Source organism: Homo sapiens, chromosome 14, assembly GCF_000001405.40.
Source record: "Homo sapiens chromosome 14, GRCh38.p14 Primary Assembly".
In the NCBI taxonomy this organism is placed as follows: domain Eukaryota; kingdom Metazoa; phylum Chordata; class Mammalia; order Primates; family Hominidae; genus Homo; species Homo sapiens.
Window position 1 is genome coordinate 22681965 of NC_000014.9, and position 25930 is coordinate 22707894.

Sequence of the window (25930 nt, forward strand, 5' to 3'; positions counted from 1 at the left end):
AAGAAATAAAGGGTATTCAGTTAGGAAAAGAGGAAGTCAAATTGTCCCTGTTTGCAGATGACATGATTGTATATTTAGAAAACCCCATTGTCTCAGCCCAAAATCTCCTTAAGCTGATAAGCAACTTCAGCAAAGTCTCAGGATACAAAATCAATGTACAAAAATCACAAGCATTCTTATACACCAACAACAGACAAACAGAGAGCCAAATCATGAGTGAACTCACATTCACAATTGCTTCAAAGAGAATAAAATACCTAGGAATCCAACTTACAAGGCATGTGAAGGACCTCTTCAAGGAGAACTACAAACCACTGCTCAATGAAATAAAAGAGGACACAAACAAATGGAAGAACATTCCATGCTCATGGGTAGGAAGAATCAATATCGTGAAAATGGCCATACTGCTCAAGGTAATTTGTAGATTCAATGCCATCCCCATCAAGCTACCAATGACTTTCTTCACGGAATTGGAAAAAGCTACTTTAAAGTTCATATGGAACCAAAAAAGAGCCCACATTGCCAAGTCATTCCTAAGCCAAAAGAACAAAGCTGGAGGCATCATGCTACCTGACTTCAAACTATACTACAAGGCTACAGTAAGCAAAACAGCATGGTACTGGTACCAAAACAGAGATATAGACCAATGGAACAGAATAGAGCCCCCGGAAATAATACCACACATCTACAACCATCTGATCTTTGACAAACCTGACAAAAACAAGAAATGGGGAAAGAATTCCCTATTTAACAAATGGTGCTGGGAAAACTGGCTAGCCATATGTAGAAAGCTGAAACTGGATCCCTTCCTTACATCTTCTACAAAAATTAATTCAAGATGGATTAAAGACTTAAATGTTAGATCTAAAACCATAAAAACCCTAGAAGAAAACCTAGGCAATACCATTCAGGCCACAGGCATGGGCAAGGACTTCATGACTAAAACACCAAAAGCAATGGCAAAAAAAGCCAAAATTGACAAATTAGATCTAATTAAATTAAAGAGCTTCTGCACAGCAAAATAAACTACCATCAGAGTGAACAGGCAACCTACAGAATGGGAGAAAATTTTTGCAAACTACTTATCTGACAAAGGGCTGATATCCAGAATCTACGGAGAACTTAATCAAATTTACAAGAAAAAAATCAAACAACCTCATCAAAAAGTGGGCAAAGGATATGAACAGACACTTCTCAAAAGAAGACATTCATGCAGCCAACAGACACATGAAAATTAAATGCTCATCATCACTGGCCATCAGAGAAATGCAAATCAAAACCACAGTGAGATACCATCTCACACCAGTTAGAATGGCAATCACTAAAAAGTCAGGAAACAACAGGTGCTGGAGAGGATGTGGAGAAATAGGAATGCTTTTACACTGTTGGTGGGAGTGTAAACTAGTTCAACAATTGTGGAAGACAGTGTGGCGATTCCTCAGCAATCTAGAACTAGAAATACCATTTGACCCAGCTATCCCATTACTGGGTATACACCCAAAGGATTATAAATCATGCTGCTATAAAGGCACATGCACACGTATGTGTGCACTATTCACAATAGCAAAGACTTGGAACCAACCCAAATGTCCATCAATGATAGATTAGATTAAGAAAATGTGGCACATATGCACTATGCAGCCATAAAAAAGGATGAGTTCATGTCATTTTTAGGGACGTTGATGAAGCTGGAAACCATCATTCTCAGCAAACTATCACAAGGACAGAAAACCAAACACCGCATGTTCTCACTCATACATGGGAATTGAACAATAAGAACACTTGGACACAGGGTAGGGAACATCACACACTGGGGCCTGTCATGGGGTAGGGGGAGGGAGGAGGGATAACATTAGGAGATATACCTAATGTAAATGATGAGTTAACAGGTGCAGCACATGAACATGGCACATATATACATATGTAACAAACCTGCACGTTGTGCACATGTACCCTAGAACTTAACGTATAATAATTAAAAAAAAAGAAAAATGCAATTGGCATACTGAAGAATGCTTCTGTGTCTTTTAATAGCAGAATTATCAGGCAGAAGACAGAATTACTGAGCTTGAAGATAAGCTATTATAATATTTGAAAATACACAGTCAGAGGAGACAAAAGAAAAAAGAATAAAAAACGATGAAGCAGGCTGGGCATGGTGGCTCATGCCTGTAATCCCAGCACTTTGGGAGACTGAGGCGGGCAGATCACTTGAGGTTGGGATTTCAAGACCAGCCTGACCAACATGGAGAAACCCCATCTTTACTAAAAATAAAAATTAGCCAGGTGTGGTGCACATGCCTGTAATCCCAGCTACTGGGGAGGCTGAGGCAAGAGAATTACTTGAACCAAAGAGGCAGAGGTTGCAGTGAGCCAAGATCATGCCATTGCACTCCAGCCTGGGCAACAAGAGCGAAACTCCATCTCAAAAAGAAAAAAAAAAGATGAAGCACACCTACAGGATCTAGAAAATAGCCTCAAATCTCAGAGTTATTGGCCCCAAAGAAGAGGTAGAGAAAGAGATGGGGTAGAAAGTTTATTCAAAGGGATAATAACAGAGAACTTCCCAAACCTAGAGAAAGCTATCAATATCCAAGTACAAGAAGGTTATAGAACACCAAACAGATTTAGCCCAAAGAAGACTACCTCCAGGCATTTAATAATCAAATTGCCAAAGGTCAAGGACAAAGAAAGAGTCCTAAAAGGAGCAAGATAAAACAAACAAATAACATACAACAGAGCTCCAATATATCTGACAGCAGACTTCTCAGTGGAAACTTCACAGGTCAGGAGAGAGTGGCATGGCATATTTAAAGTGCAGAAGGAAAAAAATTTTTACCCTAGAATAGTATATCTGGCAAAAAATATCCTTCAAATATGAAGAAGAAATAAAGACTTTCCCCGACAAACAAAAGCTGAGGGATTTCATCAACATCAGACCTGTCTTACAAGAAATGCTAAGGGGAATATTTCAATCAGAAAGAAAATGATGTTAATAAGCAATCATCTGAAGGTACAAAACTCATTAGTAATAGTAAGTACACAGAATATTATAACTCTGTAATTGTGATGTTTAAACTACTCACATCTTAAGTAGAAAGATCTTAAGTAGAAAGATGTGAGTAGTTTAGTATTAGTAGTATTTTATGTGAAAAGATGAACTGAACAAAAAGTAATAACTTCAAGACATAGTACAAATAAGGTATGAATTAATAGTAACAACAAAAAGTTAAAACATGGGGGGACAAAGTTAAGGCATAGAGTCTTTATTAATTTTATTTTTGCTTGTTTGCTCATTTGTTAATGCAAACATTGTTAAGTTGTTATCAGCTTAAAATAATGGCTTATAAGATAGTATTTGCAAGCCCTATGGTAATCTCAAAACAAAAACCATATAACAGATACACAAAAAGAAAAAGCATGAAACTAAATTATATCACCAGAGAAAACCACCTTCACCAAAAGGAAGATAGAAAGAAAAGAAAGAAGAAAGAGAAGACCAGAAAACAAATAATAAAATGGCAAGAATAAGTCCTTATCCCCCATAATAACATTGAAGATGTTTTTCCTTTGCCGCATCTACTGAGAGAATGAAGATCATTCTCAGCAATCAGACTGTCAACATTCCAGAAAATGTTGGCATTACTCTGAAGGGATGCACAGTTACTGTGAAGGGCCCAAAGGAACCCTGAGGTGTGACTTAATCACATCAATGCAGAGCTCAGTCTTCTTGGGAAAAAAAAAAAAAAAGAGAGAGATTTACTGGCAAGATAGCCGAATAGGAACAGCTCCGGTCTGCAGCTGCCAGAGAGACTGATGCAGAAGGTGGGGGATTTCTGCATTTCCAACTTAGGTACCCGGTTCATCTCACTGGGACTGGTTGGACAGTGGGTGCAGCCCATGGAGGGCAAGCTGAAGCAGGGTGGGGAGCCATCTCACCTGGGAAGCACAACGGGTCAGGGAATTTTCTGCCCCACCCAAAGGAAGCCATGAGGCACTGAGCCTGAGGAACTCTGGTACAGACACTGTGCTTGTCCCATGGTTTTTGCAACCCGCAAACCAGGAGATTCCCTCCGGTGCCTACCCCACCAGGGCCCTGGGTTTCAAGCACAAAACTGGGCAGCCATTTGGGCAGACACCAAACTAGCTGCCGGAGTTCTTTTTTTCCATACCCCAGTGGTGCCTGGAATGCCAGCGAGACAGAGCCATTCACTCCCCTGGAAAGGGGTGCTGAAGCCAGGGAGCCAAGTGATCGAGCTTGGTGGGTCCCACCCCCACAGAGCCCAGCAAACTAAGATCCACTAGCTTGAAATTCTCACTGCCAGCACAGCAGCAGTCTGAGATCAACCTGAGACACGAGCTTGGTGGGGGGAGGGGCGTCCACCATTGCTGAGGCTTGAGTAGGTGGTTTTACACTCACAGTATAAAGAAAGCCACTGGGAAGTTCAAACTGGGCGGAGCCCACTGCAGCTCAGCAAGGCTGCTGTGGCCAGACGTCCCTTCTCTGGGCAGGGCATCTCTGAAAAAAAAGGTAGCAGCCCCAGTCAGGGACTTACAGATAAAACCCCCATCTCCCTGGGTCAGAGCACCTGGGAAAACAGGCAGCTGTGGGCACAGCTTCAGCAGACTTAAACGTCTCTGCCTGACAGCTCTGAAGAAAGCAGTGGACCTCCCAGCATAGCATTCAAGCTCTGCTAAGGGACAGACTGCCTCCTCAAGTGGGTCCCCGACCCCCATGTATCCTGACTGGGAGACACCTCCCAGTAGGGGCCAACAGACACCTCATACTGGAGAGTTCTGGCTGGCATCTAGGAGGTGCCCCTCTGGGACGAAGCTTCCAGAGGAAAGACCAGGCAGCAATCTTTGCTGTTCTGCAGCATCCTCTGGTGATACCCAGGGAAACAGGGTTGGGAGTGGACCTCCAGCAAACTCCAACAGACTGGTAGCAAAGGGGCCTGACTGTCAGAAGGAAAACTAACAAACAGGAATAGCACATCCACTCAAAGACCCCATCCAAAGGTCACCAACATCAAAGACCAAAGGTAGATAAATCCACAAAGATGGGGAGAAACAAGAACAAGAAGGTCAAAAATTCCAAAAACCAGAATGCCTCTTCTCCTCCAAAGGATCACAACTCCTCGCCAGCAAGGGAACAAAACTGGATGGAGAATGAGTTTGATGAATTGACAGAAGAAGGCTTCAGAAGGTGGGTAATAACAAACTCCTCCAAGTTAAAGGAGCATGTTCTAACCCAATGCAAGGAAGCTAAGAACCTTGAAAAAAGGTTAGATGAATTACTAACTAGAATAACCAGTGTAGAAAAGAACATAGATGACCTGATGGAGCTGAAAAACACAGCATGAGAACTTTGTGAGGCATACACAAGTTTCAATAGCTGAATCAATCAAGCAGAAGAAAGGATATCAGTGATTGAAGATCGACTTAATGAAATAAAGCTTGAAGACAAGATTAGAGAAAAAGGAAAAAAAGGAATGAACAAAGCCTCCAAGAAATACAGGACTATGTGAAAACCAAATCTGTGTTTGATTGGTGTCCTGAAAGTGATGAGGAGAATGGAACCAAGTTGGAAAACACTCTTCAGGATTATTATCCAGGAGAACTTCCCCAACCTAGCAAGACAGGCCAACATTCAAATTCAGGAAATACAGAGAACACCACAAAGATACTCCTTGAGAAGAGCAACTCCAAGACACATAATTCTCAGATTCACCAAGGTTGAAATGAAGGAAAAAATTTTAAGGGCAGCCAGAGAGAAAGGTCGGGTTATCCACAAAGGGAAGCCCATCAGACTAACAGCAGATCTCTCTGCAGAAACTCTACAAGTCGGAAGAGAGTGGGGTCCAATATTCAACATTCTTAAAGAAAAGAATTTTCAACCCAGAATTTCATATCCAGCCAAACTAAGCTTCATAAGCGAAGGAGAAACACAATCCTTTACAGACAAGCAAATGCTGAGAGATTTTGTCACCACCAGGCCTGCCTTACAAGAGCTCCTGAAGGAAGCACTAAACGTGGAAAGGAGCAACTGGTACCAGCCACTGCAAAAACATACTAGATTGTAAAGAACATTGGCACAATGAAGAAACTGCATCAACTAATGGGCAAAACAACTAGCTAGCCTCATATTGACAGGATCAAATTCACACACAACAATTTTAACCTTAAACGTAAATGGGCTAAATGCGCCAATTAAAAGACACAGACTGGCAAATTGGATAAAGAGTCAAGACCCATTAGTGTGCTGTATTCAGGAGACCCATCTCATGTGCAAAGATACACATAGGCTCAAAATAAAGGGATGGAGGAATATTTACCAAGCAAATGGAAAGCAAAAAAAAGCACAAGTTGCAATCCTAATCTCTGATAAAACAGACTTTAAACCAACAAAGATCAAAAGAGACAAAGAAGGGCATTACATAATGGTAAAGGGATCAATGCAGCAAGAAGAGGTAACTATCCTAAATATATATGCACCCAATACAGAAGCACCCAGATTCATAAAGCAAGTTCTTAGAGACCTACAAAGAGACTTAGACTCCCACACAATAGTAATGGGAGACTTTAACACCCTACTGTCAATATTAGGCAGGTTAACGAGACAGAAAATTAACAAGGATATTCAGGACTAGAACTCAACTCTGGACCAAGCGGACCTATTAGACATCTATAGAACTCTCCACCCCAAATCAACAGAATATACATTCTGCTCAGCACCTCATTGCACTTATTCTAAAACTGATGACATAATTGGAAGTAAAACACTCCTCAGCAAATGTAAAAGAACAGAAATCACAACAAACTGTCTCTCAGACCACAGTGCAATCAAATTAGAACTCAGGATTAAGAAACTCACTCAAAACCACTCAACTACATGGAAACTGAACAACCTGCTCCTGAATGGCTACTGGGTAAATAACAAAATGAAAGCAGAAATAAAGATGTTCTTTGAAACCAATGAGAACAAAGACACAACATACCAGAATCTCTGGGACACATTTAAAGCAGTGTGTAGAGGGAAATTTATAGCATTAAATGCCTACAAAAGAAAGCAGAAAAGATCTAAAATTGACACCCTAACATCAAAGTTAAAAGAACTAGAGAAGCAACAGCTAACAAATTCAAAATCTAGCAGAAGACAAGAAATAACTAAGATCACAGCAGAACTGAAGGAGAGAGAGACACAAAAAACCCTTCAAAAAAATCAATGAATCCAGGAGCTGGTTTTTTGAAGAGATCAACAAATAGATAGACCACTAGCCAGACCATGCATTCAGACCATACCAACAGCTTTATAAGTTCTCTGGTACAATCTTGCCTGGTATGCATGCCCTTGAGTAATCCCTTTCACACTGAATGGGGCTGACTCATATAAGCAACAGGATATTGAGGATATGATGGTGTGTGCATTTCAAAGTTAGGTCATAAAAGTCATTGCACCTTCCAACTTGCTGTCTCTCAGATCACTCGCTCTGAAGGAAGCCAGCTGCCATGTCATGAGTCATGTAAGCAGCCCTGTGGAGAGTATTACTGTAAGTGAGCAAAATTCCTCACCTGTTATTTAAAGTAGATAAATCAAATTGCTTAAAGTAGATAAATCAAGAAATAGTAGTATAAACATATTATTTTGGAATAGTAGATATAACCACCTGTAATCCCAGCACTTTGAGAAGCTGAGGTGAGCAGATTGCTTGAGGTCAGGAGTTTGAGACCGGCCTGGGCAACATGACAAAACCCTGTCTCTCCAAAAAAAAAAAAATTAGATGGGTGTGGGTGCATGCACCTGTAATCCTAGCTATTTGGGAGACTGAGGTGGGCGGATCACTTGAGCCCACCAAGTCGAGGCTGCAGTGTGCTGAGATCACACCACTGCACTGCAGCCTGCATGACAGAGCAAGACCCTGTCTCAAAAAAAAAAAAAAGAATAGTACACATAACTAACACATGAATTTAAAACAAAATGGTGAAAAAATAATAAAATAATAATTTATTTAATTGATATAATCAATAAAAATTCCATTTGATATTAATAGTAATGGCAGCTCTACAGGTGAGACTATCAGAGATATCGTGGGACAAAATAGAAGGTAAAGGAAGGAAACTAACTATATTAAGCACCTATTTTGTGAGTAAAATGAGGTTCTGAGAGAAAGGGTAACCCAGCCAGCAGATTGCAGAGCCAGTGTATACATCCATATTTATCTGACTGTAAGGTCAAAGTCTTTTCCACTGTATCAAGTAATTGACCAAGAGACACTAGCTCTCAGAGCAGCAGAATGTTGCCACATTTTTATTGACAAAGAATTAATAACATAAATTATGTTTATATTGCAAAGTTTATTTAGGGAAATTTGATACTCCTTTTTACATTTTACATAAATTTATTGAGTTATAACACTGCCTGATGCCAGGTAAAGCAAATACACATCTGGGTTCAGAGACTCACGTGTGCAACAAATTTAACTTTCTGGATATTTTAAAAACTCAGCTTAATTTCCCTAGGTGCCTCATTAGCCTGATGGCAGAAATTAAATCTCAGGCAATTCTGGGTTCTCCCACAAGTACACTTTTCTTCAGAGTTGTGCTGAAGTTCTGAGGAGGATGGGAAGGGACTAGGAAATGGCCAGTCCTTTGCCCATCTATCCTCTGGCATTCTCCCACCCTGTCCCAGGTTGTCAGTCCACACAGGTGGCTGGTGCATCACTCCTCATTCTTCTCAGTGAGGTCCTTGAAGCTTGGGCAGCTCTCCCTGCTACTTCTTTACCTCTCTCAGGCACTCTATACCTCATTACTCTATTTCTGCACCTCTGAGCTGCAGAAAACTCCTTGATGCTCTTGAAAATCCCACCTGCCTAGAAACTTTATGTAGCCTCTTCTCCTCTGTGGTATTGCCATTGCCTGAAGGCCCTTTCCAGAAAGCAAATCACAAGTTTTTTCTGTTCTCAGACCCACAACTCTATGTGTGGTTCTATCATTTCCCCTTTCAGACTTGGCCAGGAATTAGGAAAGGCAAAGCACTATGCCCCTTTCTGGAGCCCCATTAGCTCTGAACTGTCCTTTCTTCTCTTTCAAGTCTCCTCTTTCTCCCTAGTGTGCAGAATCTGAGGAAGTAAAAAGGCATGTTCTGACCCATCAGCTTTTTTCCACTCCATGAGTCTTAAACTTCAGAAAAGCTTTACTCTTCCTTCTGCATCATTTCTTTCCCAGTCTACCTACCCAAATTGAGAGGAATAAGAAATACTCATAAAAAATCATGGTTTTCCACACAGTGGCTTATCAAAACAAAATCATGGTTAACATTTCAATCTATATGATGTCACCATATAAGTACTTGTGCCAGATGCTGGAAATACAAAGAAAAATGTGATTAAATTCCTGCTGTCAGGATGTGTCCAGGGTCACATTGTTAGTAGGCGGATACAAAGAAAAAAACAGAAGTGATGATACAGTATTTAGTGCAATATCAGAACTATTTATAGACAAGAGAAGTATGATTGGGTGGAGGGAAGGGGGAAGTACTTAGAAAAGTTTTCCAATGGAAAACTCAACCTGCTTTTGGCCAAGGTCGGGAAAACATTTCAAGTAGGAAGAACAGCATATGCAAAGGCGTGGGAGCCCAAGAGAATGTGATAACTTTCATAACACATGCAGGTTTGTTACATGGGTGAATTGTATGGTGCTAAGGTTTGGGGTATGACTGAACCCAGCACCCAGGTAGTGAGCATAGTACCTGATAGGTAGTTTTTCCACCCTCTCCCCCACTCCCTACCTCCCCTATCTTGTAGTCCCCAGTGTCTATTTTTTCCATCTTTTTGTCCATGTGTACCCAATATTTAGCTTCTACATATAAGCGAGATCATGCGATATTTGGTTTTCTGTTTCTGCTTTAATTCACTTAGGATAATGCCCTTCAGTTGCATACATGTTGCTGCAGAAAACTATGATTTCATTCTTTTTAATGGCTGCATAGCATTCTTTGTTATATAGGTACCATATTTTCTTTATCCAATCCACTGTCAGTGGGCACCTAGGTTGACTCCATGTCCTTGCTATTGTGAGTAGTGCTGCAATGAACATGCAAGCACATGTCTTTTTGGTAAAACAGTTTATTTTCTCTTGGATATATACCCAGTAATGGGATTGCTGGGTTGAATGGTAGTTCTGTTATAAGTTCTTTGAGAAATCTTTAAAAAACTTTCCACAGTGACTGAACTAATTTACATTCTTACCAACAGTGTGTAAGTGTTCCATTTTCTCTGCAGCCTCACCAGCATCTGTTGTTTTTTGGCTTTTTAATATAGCCTTTCTGACTGGTATGAGATAGTATCTCTTTGTGGTTTTGATCTGAATTTCTCTGATAATTAGTGATATTGAGCATTTTTTCATGTTTGTTGGCTGCTTGAAAGTCTTCTTTGGAGAAGTGACTGTTCATGTCTTTTGCCCATTTTTTAATTGGGTTATTTATTTTTTGCTTGTTGAATTAAGTTTCTTATAGAATCTGGATATTAGATCTTTGTTGGCTGCACAGTTTGTGAATAGTTTCTCCCATTCTGTAGGTTGTCTGTTTAGTCTGTTGATAGTTTCTTTTGCTGTGCAGAAGCTCTTTAGTTTAATTAGATCCCACCTGTCAATTTTTGTTTTTGTTGCAATTGCTTTTGAGGACTTAGTAATAAATTCATTCCCAAGGCTGATGTCCAGAATGATGTTTCCTAGGTTTTCTTCTAGAATTGTTACAGTTTGAGCTCTTATATTTAAATATTTAATCCATCTTGAGTTAATTTTGTACATGGTAAAAGGTAGGAGTCCAGTTTCATTTTTCTGCATATAGCTAGCCAGTTATCCCAGCACCCTTTATTGAATAGAGAGTCTCTTCCCCCATTGCTTATTTTTGTCAACTTTGTTGAAGATCAGATGGATGTAGGGGTGTGGCTTTACTTATGGTTCTCTATTCTGTTCCATTGGTCTATGTGTCTGTTTTTGTACTGTACCATGCTGTTTTGCTTACTGTAGCTTTATAGTATATTTTGAAGTCAGGTAATGTGGTGCTGACAGCTTTGTTCCTTTTGCTTAGGATTGCTTTGGCTATTTGGGCCCTTTTTGCTTCCATATGAATTTTAGAATAGCTTTTTCTAGTTCTGTGAGAAATGACATTGACCAGAATAGCATTGAACCTATAGATTACTTTGGGTTCTATGGTCATTTTAATGATATTTATTCTTCCAATCCATGAGTGTGGAACGTTTTGCCATTTGTTTGTGCCATCAGTGATTTTTTTGAGCAGTGTTTTGTAGTTCTCCTTGTAGAGACCTTTCACCTCCTTGGTTAGATGTATTCCTAGGTATTTTATTTTTTGTGTGGCTATTGTAAATGGGATTGTGTTCTGATTTGGCTCTCAGCTTGAACATTATAGGTATATAGAAATGCAACCGATTTTTGTACATTGATTTTGTGTCCTGAAACATTACTGAAGTCATTTATCAGTTCCATTAGCCTTTTGGCAGAGTCTGTAGGGTTTTCTAGATGGAGAATAACATCATCTGAGGAAAGATAATTTGACTTCTTTTCCTGTTTGGATGTCTATTTATTTCCCTTGCCTAATTGATCTGTCTAGGATTTCCCAGATTTTTTTTTTTCTCCTCCGAGACGGAGTCATGCTCTGTCACCCAGGCTGGAGTGCAGTGGCATGATCTCAGCTCACTGCAACCTCTGCCTCCCGGGTTCAAGAAATTCTCCTGCCTCAGCCTCCCGAATAGCTGGGATTACAGACACCCTCCACCACGCCCGACTAATTTATGTATTTTTAGTAGAGACGGGGTTTCACCATGTTAGCTAGGCTTGTCTCAAACTCCTGACCTCGAGATCTGCCTGCCTCAGCCTCCCAAAGTGCTGGGATTACAGGCATGAGCCACTGTGCCCAGCCCCCAGATTTTTTAAATACATGAAAAGATACATATTAAGGAATCATGCTGTCCACCCTGACTCTATCCACCCCAAACTACCACCTACAAGTATTACTTTTATTGGTTTCTGGTACATTCTTCAATTACTTTCAACATATTGGCTTTTTTTTCTTTTTCATTTCAAGTTTTAATGAAAGCTTGTATATTAGATTATTTCATTCCTGCATCTTCTCTATTGTTTCTTCCTTGTATTTGCCCTTTTCCTTTCCTACTTGGTGAGATTTTCCTTTCCATTCAAGGACATTTTTGCAGTCTTTGTCCCGTTTTAGCCCAGTGGTAACCACTTTGCTGGGGTGAATGCTTACATGGATAGTTGTGCCATTAGCCTTTTCCCACTGCACCCATTCAATGTAGATGACATATTTCTTCCTGTAAACCTGGAGTACTTTGCCAGTTTGCTGACCTTTATGGTGTCCTCATACAACCTGAACTTCATCATCCTTTCAGATGGGCATGGATCAAACGTTGTACTTCTATCTCAGCTCTGTGGAAAGAGAGGAAGACATTGTCTTCCTGCAAATGTGGGAAGGTTCACTGAAATGCCTTTTGCAGTTCTTGCTTTGGTCAGAAGTCACAAAGGGATTGAACTTCATTTTGGCTTTTCCCACTTCAGTGATGGTCGCAAAAGGGAAGAGCACTTTCAACATATTGACTTTAATGCACACAGGTGGATACCTTTAGTAAATAGTTGGATAGATGTTTCTGGGGCTTAAGAGAGATGCCTGTGTTCATTATATACATTGAATCACCAATGCGGGAGTAAGTAAGAGTTGAAGATGTAAGCACAGATGAGACCACCAAGAGAGAATGGGAAACCTAAGGACAAAACTCTGTAGGACACCAGGGATGAATAACAAATACAAGGTAAAAGGGTGAAGACAGTAAACTTAAAAGTCTCTTTCCAAGAAGTAAACTATGTGCTCCACAGAGGAGCCTATGTTCAATCACCACTGTTTTTGTGGTGCCTAGCCCAGTGCCTGAAACCTAGTAAGTACGAAATAACCATTGAATAAAGTCCAGCTCTCAAAGAAGAGAAAAGAAGTAAAAGAAGTAAACTTTAGAAGACTCAGGATAAGAGGAAGATTGTTTAAAATAGAAAACTACTTTTTCATATTTATGTGCATGTGAAAAGCAGCAAGAAGAAGAAAGCATTTGAAGGTTCAGCATCTAAGACCACTAAAGAATGATGTCAGGAAGTGAATGAACTCAGTCCTTGTGATGTCCCTTCCTTATAGCTTCTCTTTGCTTCCCTGGAAATGGAAAGGGTGGTCTATCATTAATAATGAAGTTGCCTAATGTCACAGGACTCATTACTCCAAATATATTTGATTTTTTTTTTTTTGAGACAGAGTCTTGCTCTGTTGCCCAGGCTGGAGTGCAGTGGTGTGATCTCGGCTCACTGCAGCTTCCATTTCCCAGGTTAAAGCAATTATTCTGCCTCAATCTCCCAAGTAGCTGGGATTACAGGCACCTGCCACCACGCCTGGCTAAGTTTTGTATTTTTAGTAGAGATAGGGTTTCGCTAAGTTGGTCAGGCTGTTCTCGAACTTCTGAACTCAGGTGATCCGCCTGCCTCAGCCCCCCAAAGTGCTGGAATTACAGGTGTGAGCCACTGCAGCTGGCCTATTTGATTTGAATTGGATACAAGAGTCCATATGAGGTCATTCCTTGAAAGCCTCTGACAGTCTCAGGCACACCCTGTGAATTTGCTCCACTTGCTTGTACCAAAATGTTTTCACTACTCATAGAGATATTGCTAGGCTTTTCTGCCAAATTTGAGACCTATATTGGTAAAATATAAAATATAGGTTTAAAAACTTGTGTATTGTTTTATATAAATGCATTTCCTAATACCACTAATGTCATCAATTGACTACTGAATATTGATGATAGCTATAAGTTGGAACACAGCTATAATTCTGTTCTAGTGTTGTCTACACCAATAAGGCAATGGAGAATGTAGGCTCACCTAAGAGACATAAATACATCCTAGCAGTGCTTAGTCAAGTCAATGCATACAACTTATAGCCCAGCTATCCTACTCACATGTACGTATCCCAGGAAATTGCCACACATCCATAAGGCTACTTCTATAAAGACGCTTGTCGCAGGATATTGTTGGCAATCCAGATGACCATCATTGGGAAAATGGATCAATAAAATGTGGTAATGCACACTATGGAATAAAATGCAGCAATTAGAAACATTAAACTAAAAGTATACATATCAATAAGTCTTCATAGTACACTGCAGAGTAAAAAGAGTAAGAAAAAGAACAAGAACTATATAATATTTACATAAAATAAAAATACACTTTATATGTTTTACATAGACACGTGCAAATTCAATTACAGTGACCTCTTACAGGGCAAAAGAATGAGAGCTTGGAAAGTGGGTGGAAGGCAATGAATAAATACATACATACAAACATACAAACATACATGTAAGAGACATAATGGCATGCCATCCCATGCATTGAGAGTGTGTTGATTGTATGCTGGAGTCAGCTCCCATCAGCTTTTGAGAGCTGATTATGCACATTTCTTGCCAGGTCTGCATTTAGTAACATCACATTGGTACTTAAAAGCAGCCAGAGTGGGGCGCAGTGGCTCATGCCTGTAATCCCAGCACTTTGGGAGGCCGAGGCAGGTGGATCACCTGAGGTCAGGAGTTCAAGACCAGCTTGGCCAACATGGCAAAACCCCATCTCTACTAAAAATGCAAAAATTAGCTGGGCGTGGTGGCAGGCACCTGTAATCCCAGCTGCTTGGGAAGCTGAGGCAGGAGAATCACTTGAACCAGGGAGGCAGATGTTGCAGTGAGCCAAGAGTGTACCACTGCACTCCAGCCTGGGCAACAAGAGTGAAACTCAATCTCAGGAAAAAAATAAGTAAATAAAATTAGCCAGAATGAAAGTATTTACACCATAGAAATCGCAAGTACTACAAATCAAGGCACCTTTTGTTTTCCTGAGAGCCTGTTGTTAGACATTTGCCAGCCTCTAGTCCTCTGGACTAGTAATTCCAGTTCTAAGAATTTGTTTTCAGGAAATATCTCAAATATGGAAAATGTTTTATATACAAAGATATTTATCCAAGTCCTACTTTAATAATGACAAGTTGGAAACAACTTAAATGTGAAAAGGGAATGGTTATGTAAACTAATGATAAATCCAGCATTTAAAATTATATTTATGCGAAATCTTTAATTACATGAAAAACACCTCTATTGCTGGTTTAAATGAAAAAAAAAGCAGAATAAAAATATATATGTAAATACAATGTGATACTAAGCAATCACCCAGGGTTCTTATTAAAATAGAGATTCTGATTCAGGAGGACTAAAGTGATGCCTGGGATTCTGCTTTTTTTAACAGAAATAATGCCAATGCTGCTGGTGTACATACCACTTTTTGAGTAGTAAAGGCATGTAGAATACAATCACACTCATGTAAAAAATGTATCAGAAAAATAATCTGATGGAAAATTAAAGTGTTAAATGTATTGAGCTGGGGTCATGAATGAGGGATTTTTAAAAATATGTATTTAACTAGAGTTTCCAAACTTTCTATATTATAGGATTACTTGCTTCTATAGTGTGGTAAAATGACATTAAAAATAGTCTGCTTAGGAGGACTGGGCTTGGTGGCTCACACCTGTAATCCCAGCACTTTGGGAGGTCAACGTGGGCAGGTTTCTTGAGGTCAGGAGTTCAAGACCAGCCTGACTAACATGGTGGAACCCCATCTCTACTAAAAATACAAAAATTAGCCAGGTGTAGTGGCGCATGCCTGTACTCAGGAGGCTGGGGCAGGAGAATTGCTTAAACCCAGGAGGTGGAGGTTGCAGTGAGCAGAGATCGCACCACTGCACTTCAGCCTAGGTGACAGAGTGAGATTCCGTCTCAAAAGATAATAATAGTAATCTGCTTAGCCAAGTGTGGTGGCTCACACCTGTAATCCCAGCTACTTGGGAGGCTGAGGCAGGAGGATCACTGGAGCCTAGGAGTTCAAGGCTGCAATGAGCTATGATTGCACCACTGTACTCCAGCCTAGGTGACAGAGTGACACCCTATCTCTAAAATAAATAAATAAGTATAATTTTTAAAATAAAAATATATATATTTATGCTTATGCATGTGTAGGTGCAGGGAATATATGGGAAATCTCTATAACTTCCATTCAATTTCTCCGTGACCCTAAAACTGATCTAAAACATAAATCTATCTTTAAAAATCTGCTTTAATTTTCTCATAAACAGCATTAAAAATTGAATAACCAAGACCTTGTCGAAGAGCCCAATTGTACAGCCTGGTTGAGAATCAAGCCTATGTATGTTTCATTCTTTTTTCCCACTTTCTTAACGATGCCTTGAACGTGGGTTTCTGATCCTTTTTACCAAATGCTTTTATATTTTTAACCAAAGGAAAAAGACATTTAATCGCAGCTTTTTCATTTTCTTGCATTTTGTCCCTCTCTCCAGTACTCCGTCTTCAACCATGTCCCGGCCCTGGGAGGGAAGGGATCCTGCAGGACAGGACTGGCCAGAGTTCTACATTACTTGTGATGGTTCCTTATATCCCTAGAACAATAAGACTGCCTAGTGTTACACAGGAGTCCCCTATTTTGGAGGCATAATGTGATTTTTTTTTTTTAATTTTTGTAGAGACAGAGTCTCTCTATGTTGCCAGGGTGGTCTCAAACTCGTGGCCTCCAGTGAGTCCCCCTGCCTCAGCCTCCCAAAGTGCTGGATTACAGGCATGAGCCACCATGCCCAGCCTGGATTTATTACTTTAACTAAAAGTAGTTGTTATTCTCGATCTGAACAAACAACAGAAAGTTTTGTTTGCAAAGTTGTACTAAGTAACAGCCAAGAGACTTGGAAAGAGGCTGAGTGGGGCTCATTAGACTAACTCTCTGGGGATCCCAAGTCCCATCAAACTAGGGAGACGAATAGATCCCTTAAGAAAACAAAACTGCAACCCAAATCTTCCAGCCCTGATATTACCTTCACCAAAAGATGTTTACTTCAGAAGGAGCTTGCTGAAAATTGAAGATTTTGAAACACTCTATACTCTTCAGACCCTTTGAGCTGAATGATGGCGCCAAAGAAGCTATTCTTCTCTGAGTGACCAGGGAATGCAACTGCCCATTCAGGAAGCTTTGTAAGAGAACAGGTGTTCTTAGAAAATACCATCAAATTCATGAGAGATACAGAACTCACACCAACAGTATAGGACCAGCATTTAGAGCCAACAGACAATATTGCAACCTCAGGAAATAACCGTGAGAAGCAGTTATCTCCCGTAGTCCTGTGAGCAGTGTGTTTGGAATGGCCTGATTGGGAGTCTCCCGGAGGACTGGTAGACACCTGACCCTGGACCTGCCAAGTAATCTCCATCTTGGCACTTCAGGGGCTGGCAGAGCAGCAGTTGCTTCCTCAAACCCTTCTCTTGCTGGCACTTGTTTTTATATTTTGTCAGAAGGTCTGGCACATCAAGGACAGGCACTGGGTCTCATTTGTAACTTTAGCCCCACCCAAGTCAATGCTGGAACACAGCAGTGGGTAAGCCAATGTTTATTCAGTCAGAGCCATTACATTACTCACTTGCACTGAGGGACTTTGCCTGGCCTGATCTGCCCAATGTTGTGCCATGCTGTGCTCTGTGTAACTGTCCTCTTGGAAGACACAAAGCTCTGGACAACATGGAATCTGGGTGAAACTCCAAATGCTTTTGCTTTGAAGGGGAATATCTCATCCTCCTTCTAGGTGTAGTGGAACTGTTCAAAAGAGCATGAAGTCCAGGCACAGTGGCTCACGCCTGTAATCCCAGCACTTTGGGAGGCTGAGGAGGGTGGATCACCTGAGGCCAGGAGTTCGAGACCAGCCTGGCCAAAATAGTGAAACCTTGTCTCTACTAAAAATACAAAAATTAGGCGGGCATGGTGGGGCACGCCTGCAGTCCCAGCTACTTGGGAGGCTGAGGCAGGAGAATCACTTGAACCCAGGAGGCAGATGTTGCAGTAAGCCGAGATTGTGCCACTGCACTCCAGCCTGGGCAAAAAAAAAAAAAGAGCCTGAGTTCCTACCGTGGCAGGACACACCTCCAGGTCGTGCATACTTTTCCATGGGGCACTACACAACTGACCCTAAAAACAATGAATGGTCTGAAGTAGATGGTGCAGCCACGTCCAGGCTCTCAGACTGCTGGGCAAGTCTCCCCTTCACTCATCAAGCATGTAGAATAAAGGAGGAAATGCCTGGGATTCAGGAAGTGGCCTAATTTACTTTGGTTCTGGAAGGCCAAGAACTAGTGACCTCTGCTTTGAAACAGGAAGAAAAAAAAGTTCATCAGCGGCCCTGGCTAGATGCTATCTCCTTAGCTGGTCACAATGCCTTCATTTATCTGTGCTAAGCTCATGACTCAGCATGAACCTGGAGCTTTTTCTTCTAGTCCCATTCACAGCTGGCTCTTTATCACCTTAATCTCTGTTCTTATGTTTCTCCCAATGTGTACCACCCAGGACTTGCCTAAAAAATACTCTAATACTCATCCTATTACTTCCTGATGATGTTTCTGGGTGTCATGTTCATGTTGGATTCTGCTTTTGTCATGGGCCACCTGGGGTCATCTTTGAACAAAATGATGAGGCTACAAAAACCTATTTTTCCAATTGTTGATGGATCTAGACAATGTGAAGCCTAGAATTAGCCCATGAGAAATAGCCCTAGTTATATCCTCAAAGGCTGGTCAACTATTTTGTGTTCTTTAATAACTGTCAGCAAAAGTTAGAGATAAGGGTAGTTTATGGAATGACCTAGAATAATGTAGCCTGTGCTAAAAAGAAGGCAAAACCTTTCTAAGGTTTTTGTTTTTTGGGTTTTCTGCTGCTGGAAGCTCCCCAGCAAACCCAACCAGACCTCTGTCTACTCACTCACTCAAACTCCAGACCGTCTCAAAGATGTAGACTCTCCCTTCAGAGAATGATTGTGGAGCAATGCCTCCAACTTGTCGTGAGGAAAAGCAAACTCTCTTCAGATGGACCAATTTCAGATGAGTTGGCATGCTGCTGGCAAGGTTGCTGACCCCTAGGAAATGCTACATAAATTACATGTCCTCAACCACTTGTGTGTCAAACACCCACCGAATCCATCTCTCAGACATTTGAGATGTGGCTTACTCATTCAATAAATGTTGTTAAAGCTGATTATTTCAAGAAACTTGTTCTAATTACTACAGAAAATACAAAGGTTAATAGAGAAATTTTTGACTCAGTGAGCAAGAAGTGAAAAACAACTATAACAATACAATAAAAAGATGATATATAATAAAATTATGGGAGGTACAGAGGAAAGACACATTTATTTGGAAGAGAAGTCTTTATAGAAAAGATAGCATTTATTGAGGAAAGACTTAAAGGATAAATAGGACTTGAAAGGCTGATGATTCCAAACTGAAAGAGTGACATGAGCAAACACACAGTTGTGTGAAAATGGATAAAGAATCAAAATATTGCAAAGAATCTATTATATCCAAAGCTCAGAGTTTGTGGAAGGAGATAATGAAAGGAGAACCTTGGCAACAGGTCATTAAGAATGTTGAATATCAAACTCCCATTAAGGAGTGTTGATTTATGTGGATACTACTTGGATTTTTCCTTATTTGATTTGTGAGAGGTGTGCTTTTCTCTCACAGATTTCCTCTAGTCTTTTTATCAATCCAAAAACTAATGAAAGGTATCAAAGATTCTGGCAATGTTTAAACAGCAACACCCTCGAATATGAACTCTTTATGGATGAAGACCCAATATTGGTATAAACACAAGAACAAAAGTTATTGAAAGCAGGTAATATTAGTATAGGCAAAGGGATTCATTGAGAAATTAGGAGTAAAAGTTTTGGTTAAGAAAAGTAAGAAAGGATAAATTTTGGTTCTGAGCCTTTCTTGGGCCACCTTGCACATCATCACACTCTTGTCTAACACACAGATGCACCAGAAACCACACGTGAAACAGGTAACCCCAGAGGCTCTGCAGATAAGCCTGAGTAGTCAGTGGTGGGAAGATACATCCTTCACAGAAATAAAGTACACCTTCAGCCCTCTCTCCTTTCAGTTCCAGGTTGTTCTCAGGTCCCCAACATCACGATTCTTGATGCTGAACACCTTTGATCAGCCCTCCCCAGCAAAGGTCAGAGGAGCCATGGGGAACCACACCACCGTCACCGAGTTTGTCCTGCTGGGGCTCTCAGAGACCTGTGAGCTGCAGATGCTCATCTTCCTGGGGCTCCTCCTGACCTACCTCCTCACACTGCTGGGGAATCTGGTCATCGTGGTCATCACCCTCATGGACAGGCGCCTCCACACCACCATGTACTACTTCCTCCGCAACTTTGCTGTCCCGGAGATCTGGTTCACCTCGGTCATCTTTCCCAAGGTGCTGGCCAACATCCTCACAGGATACAAGACCATTCCCTCCCAGGCTGCTTCCTGCAAAGTTTGCTCTATTTTTTCTTGGGCACCACAGAGTTCTTCCTCCTGGCGGTGATGTCCTTTGACAGGTACGTGGCCGTATGTAACCCTTTGCATTATGCCACCATCATGAGCAAAAGGGTCTGTGTCCAGCTAGTCCTCTGTTAGTGGATGACAGGATTCCTTCTCATCATTATTCCAAGTTTTCTTGTCCTTCAGCAGCCATTCTGTGGCCCCAACATCATTAACCATTTCTTCTGTGACAACTTTCCCCTCTTGAAACTCATTTGTGCAGACATGACTCTGATAGAGCTCCTGGGTTTTGTTATAGCCAACGTCAGCTTACTGGGCACTCTGTCTATGACGGCCACTTGCTATGGCCACATCCTCCACGCCATTCTGCACATCCCCTCAGCCAAAGAGAAGCAGAAAGCCTTCTCCGCCTGCTCCTCCCACATCATTGTCGTGTCTCTCTTCTATGGCAGCTGCATCTTCATGTACATTCAGTCAGGCAAGAGTGACCAGAAGGAAGACAGGAACAAGGTGGCGGCATTGCTTAACACCGTGGTGACCCTGATGCTCAACCCCTTCATCTACACCCTGAGGAACAAACAGGTGAAACAGGTGTTTAGGCAGCAGGTGAGCAAACTCCTCATATAAAGCTGTGTAAAAAAAAAACTGAAGCTCAGCATCCCCAGACAAGCTAAGAGAATATAGGCCCCTTGAAACAACTGAGCCTTTCCGATTCAGAAAAAGCTCGGATGATATGTTTGTACATGATGTGTTTCTATGGGATCAGTCACTATGCAATTCAGCATAAACTCTTTGGACCCTCTGGCACTATTAATTAGTGGATTTGAATATTTCTGTTCATTCCATCTGTATCTGCCTGGCTTCCAACAAAATACAAGTTCTCTGAAAGCAGAAACTAGCTCTATAACTCACTATAAGCCTCAAGTGTCAATCCATTGTCATAGACCATATAGATTGTTAAAAAATACTTGTGTGCTGATTGATCACTCTGTGTCTGTTTCTCCAACGTCCTCAGGGGAAAGAACAGTTATCTATTAGTACTGTCCTTATTTAACACTGACAATCCTGTTACGGAAATATATTAGCAAGACATCGAAAATGCTAAAGCTAATTGCTTATCATTTTGCGTATAAGCTATTTATGCTCTTTTAGTATTTAAATTCCTAGAAATTCCTCATTCTTACTGATAAAGGCTCTTTCATCTACTAGTTATATTACCTCTCTGAGCCCCAGTTTTCTCATCTATGAAATGAGGATGACAATGGCCATTTCAAAGAATTGTAATAAAAGTCAAATGAGATTTTCTATGTAAAATTGCTTACATAGTGTCTGGTCCTCAATAAATATTCCTTCCTTTCTTCCAATTATAATCCTACTTTCCCACTCCCTTTTTTATTTTATTTTATACCAGTTATCAACAAAAGCATTTTTGAAGATTTTATATTCAAAATGTTATTTTAAATGTTAAAGTTAAATACAAGTCTAGTGATTTTTCTGGTCACTCCTACATAATTTTAAAAGTCCTCTATTAACTATCAGTCCATAGAATAGTGTTAGTAAACTGTCCAATTCTATGTAATTATTAAAATTTGGAACTTCATTTAAAGTTAAAACTTACTCTTTCCTCCACCTAGAGCTTGTTTCAGGCAAGACATCAGAGAGAAACGGTGTGTGTTGTTGGCTTTATCTGTCTTGACTCTGCAAGCACATCTACCCGTTACCTACCGTAACCAAATCAATTAACATTAATTCTTCCAAAGTGATTGTTACACAGAAGTCATGTTCAAGTAAATGTATGGTCTGGTAGATAATAATCTATGCCTTTGAAGAATCTGAAATCAAACAAAGACAATATGAAGTATGCAAATACTAGAATTCAGGGTAGAAAATGATAATGTGTAAGAAAATATCACATGTAACTCTTCAACAACCAATTTGAAAACCAAGAGGAAATGGATGATTTTCCAGAAAAGAAATTTTTTTTCAACTGACCTAAGGAGAAATAGAAAACTTGATTAGACATATTACTATAGAAAAACCTCAAAATCGGGTTACATATCTACTATAACTCAAAAACAAAAAGCAAACAACCCAATTCTACAAATGATCAATAAATACACGAAAAGTGTTACATCACTTAATCATTAGGGCAATGCAAATCAAAACCACAATGAGATACCACTTCACACCAATTAGGAAGTCTATTTTTTTAATTAAAAAAATAGAAAATAACAAGTGTTGTCAAGAATGTGGAGTGGCCACTTCCAAGGAGTTAGGATTACAGTGGCTCATCCCTGTAATCCTAACTCCTTGGAAGGCAAAGACAGGAGGATCATTTGAGGCCAGGAATTCAAGACCAGCCTGGACAACTGGGCAACATAGTGAGACCCCATCTCTACAAAAAAAACTACAAAAATTAGCTGGCCATGGTGGTGTGTACCTGTAGTCCCAGCTACTCAGGAAGCTGAGGTGAGAGAATCGCTTGAGCCCAGGAGTTTGAGGCTACAGTGAGCCATGATTGCACCACTGCACTCTAGCCTGGGTGACAGAGCAAGACCTTGTCTCAAAAAAAAAAAAAGAGAGAGAGAGAGAAAGAGAAAGAAAGAAGAAAAGAAGGTACAGAAGTCATCTAGACTTTCTTATAAGACTGGAAAAAAGTGTAAAGAAATTAGAACTCTTGCATATACACATTGCTAGTGGAAATGTAAAGTGGTACAGTCACTGTGGAAAACAGGATGGTGGTTCCTAAAACAATTAAACATAGATGTGCCATAAAATCCAGCAATTTTACTTCTGTGAATATACCCAAAAGAATGGAAGGCAGGGAGTTGAACAGATCTTTATACACCCGTGTTCACAGCATCATTATTCACAATAGCCAAAAGGTGGTTTAAAAAAATGTCCAACAACAGATGAATGGAAAAATAAAATGTGGCATATACATACAATGGAATATTACTTAGCCTTAAAAGCAATGAAATTTTGATGCACACTGTCTGTAATAAACAAATATTAAATCATAGATGAGCCTAGAAAACATTATGCTATGTGAAATAAGCCAATCACAGAAGGACAAATAATGTATAACTATACTTATATGAGGTACCTAGAATAGTCAAATTCAGAGATAGAAAGTAGAACGGTGGTTACCAGGGCCCAGGCCAAGGAGGAATGGAGGATTTATTGTTTAATGGGTGTAGAGTTTCAGTTTGGTCTCAATTTATTATTATTTTTTTAAGATACAGTCTCACTCTATCTCCCAGGCTGGAGTGCATGGGAGAAGAAAAGATCTCGGCTCACTGCAACCTCTGCTTCCCGGGGTCAAGAGATTCTTGTGCCTCAGCCTCCTGAGTAGCTGAAATTACAGGCACCTACCACCATGCCCGGCTAATTTTTGTAGTTTTAGTAGAGACGTGGTTTCACCATGATGGCCAGGCTGGTCTTGAACTCCTGACCTCAGGTGATCTGCGCATGCCCAGAGTTTCAGTTTTGGATGATAAAAAAGTTCTGGAGATAGATACTGGTGATGATTGCTCAACAATGTGAATTTACTTAGTGCCATTTAACTGAATAATTAAAAATGCTTAATATAATACATTTTATGTCATATATTTTTCACCACAATAAAAAATACAGATCTCAGATCAATAAAAACCCAAAAATATGTAATCTTTGACTCCCTTCTTTCTCCAATATCCTACAACCAATCCATTAGCAAATTCTGTGGGTTATACCTTCAAAATATATACAGAACCCTACTATTTCTTACCACTACCACTGTTAGCACCTTTGTCTGTGCAACCTTCCACTTCCTCTTGGTTCTCCATCTCCTACCTGTCACCTCTCTCACATCCACATAGCCCTGAGGGAGGGAGAAGCCACAGGTAACGGGTAGATGTGCTTGCAGAGTCAAGACAGATAAAGCCAACAACACACACCGTTTCTCTCTGATGTCTTGCCTGAAACAAGCTCTAGGTGGAGGAAAGAGTAAGTTTTAACTTTAAATGAAGTTCCAAATTTTAATAATTACATAGAATTGGACAGTTTACTAACACTATTCTATGGACTGATAGTTAATAGAGGACTTTTAAAATTATGTAGGAGTGACCAGAAAAATCACTAGACTTGTCCTGGATTTCATCAGGGATCAAGGAAAAATAACTACATGAACAGGTTTGAATGAGTATATAGGAAGAGGGTGGAGTGGAGAATATGTATTACAAATAAAGGGTTATTATCCATAATTTACAAAGACGAATTATCTATTATCTAATAGATAAATGAGATAAGGATATGCATAGACACTTCAGAAAAAAGCAAATTTAAAGAGCCAATAAATAAATTAAAAGATGTCCAATCATGTTAATAGTTAAAACAATAAAAATAAAAATAACAGCTCTTAATAATTAAGGAAGCATTTTCAGTTTTTAAAAGTAAATTTATACTTTAAAAATTACTCTTGTTTTAATAAATGCTAAAATATTTACAGAGAAAATGATATGATGTCTGGGATTTGCTTCAGAATAATAAAAGGAGGAGGGGAGTTGGTGGTGGTCTAGGTGAAACCGGTATGACTTGGTCATTGTTAAAGCTAGATGATGGCTACATTGATACATGGAGGTTTATTATAAAATCTCTTTGTTGTTGTTGTTGTTGTTGTTGTTGAGACAGAGTCTTGCTCTGTCGCCCAGGCTGCAGTGCAGTGGCACGATCGCGGCTCACTGCAACCTCCACCTCCCGGGTTCAAGTGATACTCTTGCCTCAGCCTCCCGAGTAACTGGGATTACAGGCACGTGCCAGCACGCCCGGCTAATTTTTGTATTTTTGGTAGAGACAGGGTTTCACCATGTTGGCCAGGATGGTGTCAAACTCCCAACCTCAGGCGATCCTGGAGGTAATATCATCCTCTCCCCCGATGGATATTAGGAACTATATCACAAGGGAATGTACACTCCCAGCGATATGGAGAGTAATATCATTCTCTCCCCTTCTGGATATTACAAACAATATCACAAGGGGGTGCACACCCCCTGTGATACAGGGAGAAATATCATCCTCTCTTCCCCTGGATATTACGAACAACATCACAAGGGGGTGTACACCCCATGCGATATGGGGAGTAATATCATCCTCTCCCTCCCTAGATATTACGAACAATATCACAAGGGGGTGTACACCCCATGTGATATGGGCAGAAATATCATCCTCTCCCTCCCTGGATATTATGAACAATATCACAGGGAAGTGTGCATCCCCTGTGATATGGGGAGTAATGTCATCCTCTCCTCCCCTAAATATTACAAACAATATCACAGGGGATGTACACACGCTGCAATGTGGGAAGTAGTATTATCCTCTCGCCCCCTGGAAATTAGGAACAATATCACAGGTGGGTGTACACCTCCTGCACTATGGGGAGTAATATCATCCTCTCCCCACTGAACATTATA

At 40.4% G+C, this 25930-nt stretch overlaps 1 long non-coding RNA gene and 2 pseudogenes across 1 annotated transcript in view; 1 reads left to right on the plus strand and 2 right to left on the minus strand.

Moving 5' to 3' along the window:
• On the minus strand, positions 12088-12613 carry RPL26P2 (ribosomal protein L26 pseudogene 2; annotated as a pseudogene).
• OR6E1P (olfactory receptor family 6 subfamily E member 1 pseudogene) lies at positions 20180-21105 on the plus strand (annotated as a pseudogene).
• OXA1L-DT (OXA1L divergent transcript) overlaps positions 22256-25930 on the minus strand; it is a 62343-nt gene continuing 58668 nt past the window's right edge. Inside the window, exon 3 of the long non-coding RNA XR_001750638.3 lies at positions 22256-24451. This is a non-coding gene — a long non-coding RNA (OXA1L divergent transcript). The remainder of the gene's footprint in view (positions 24452-25930) is intronic.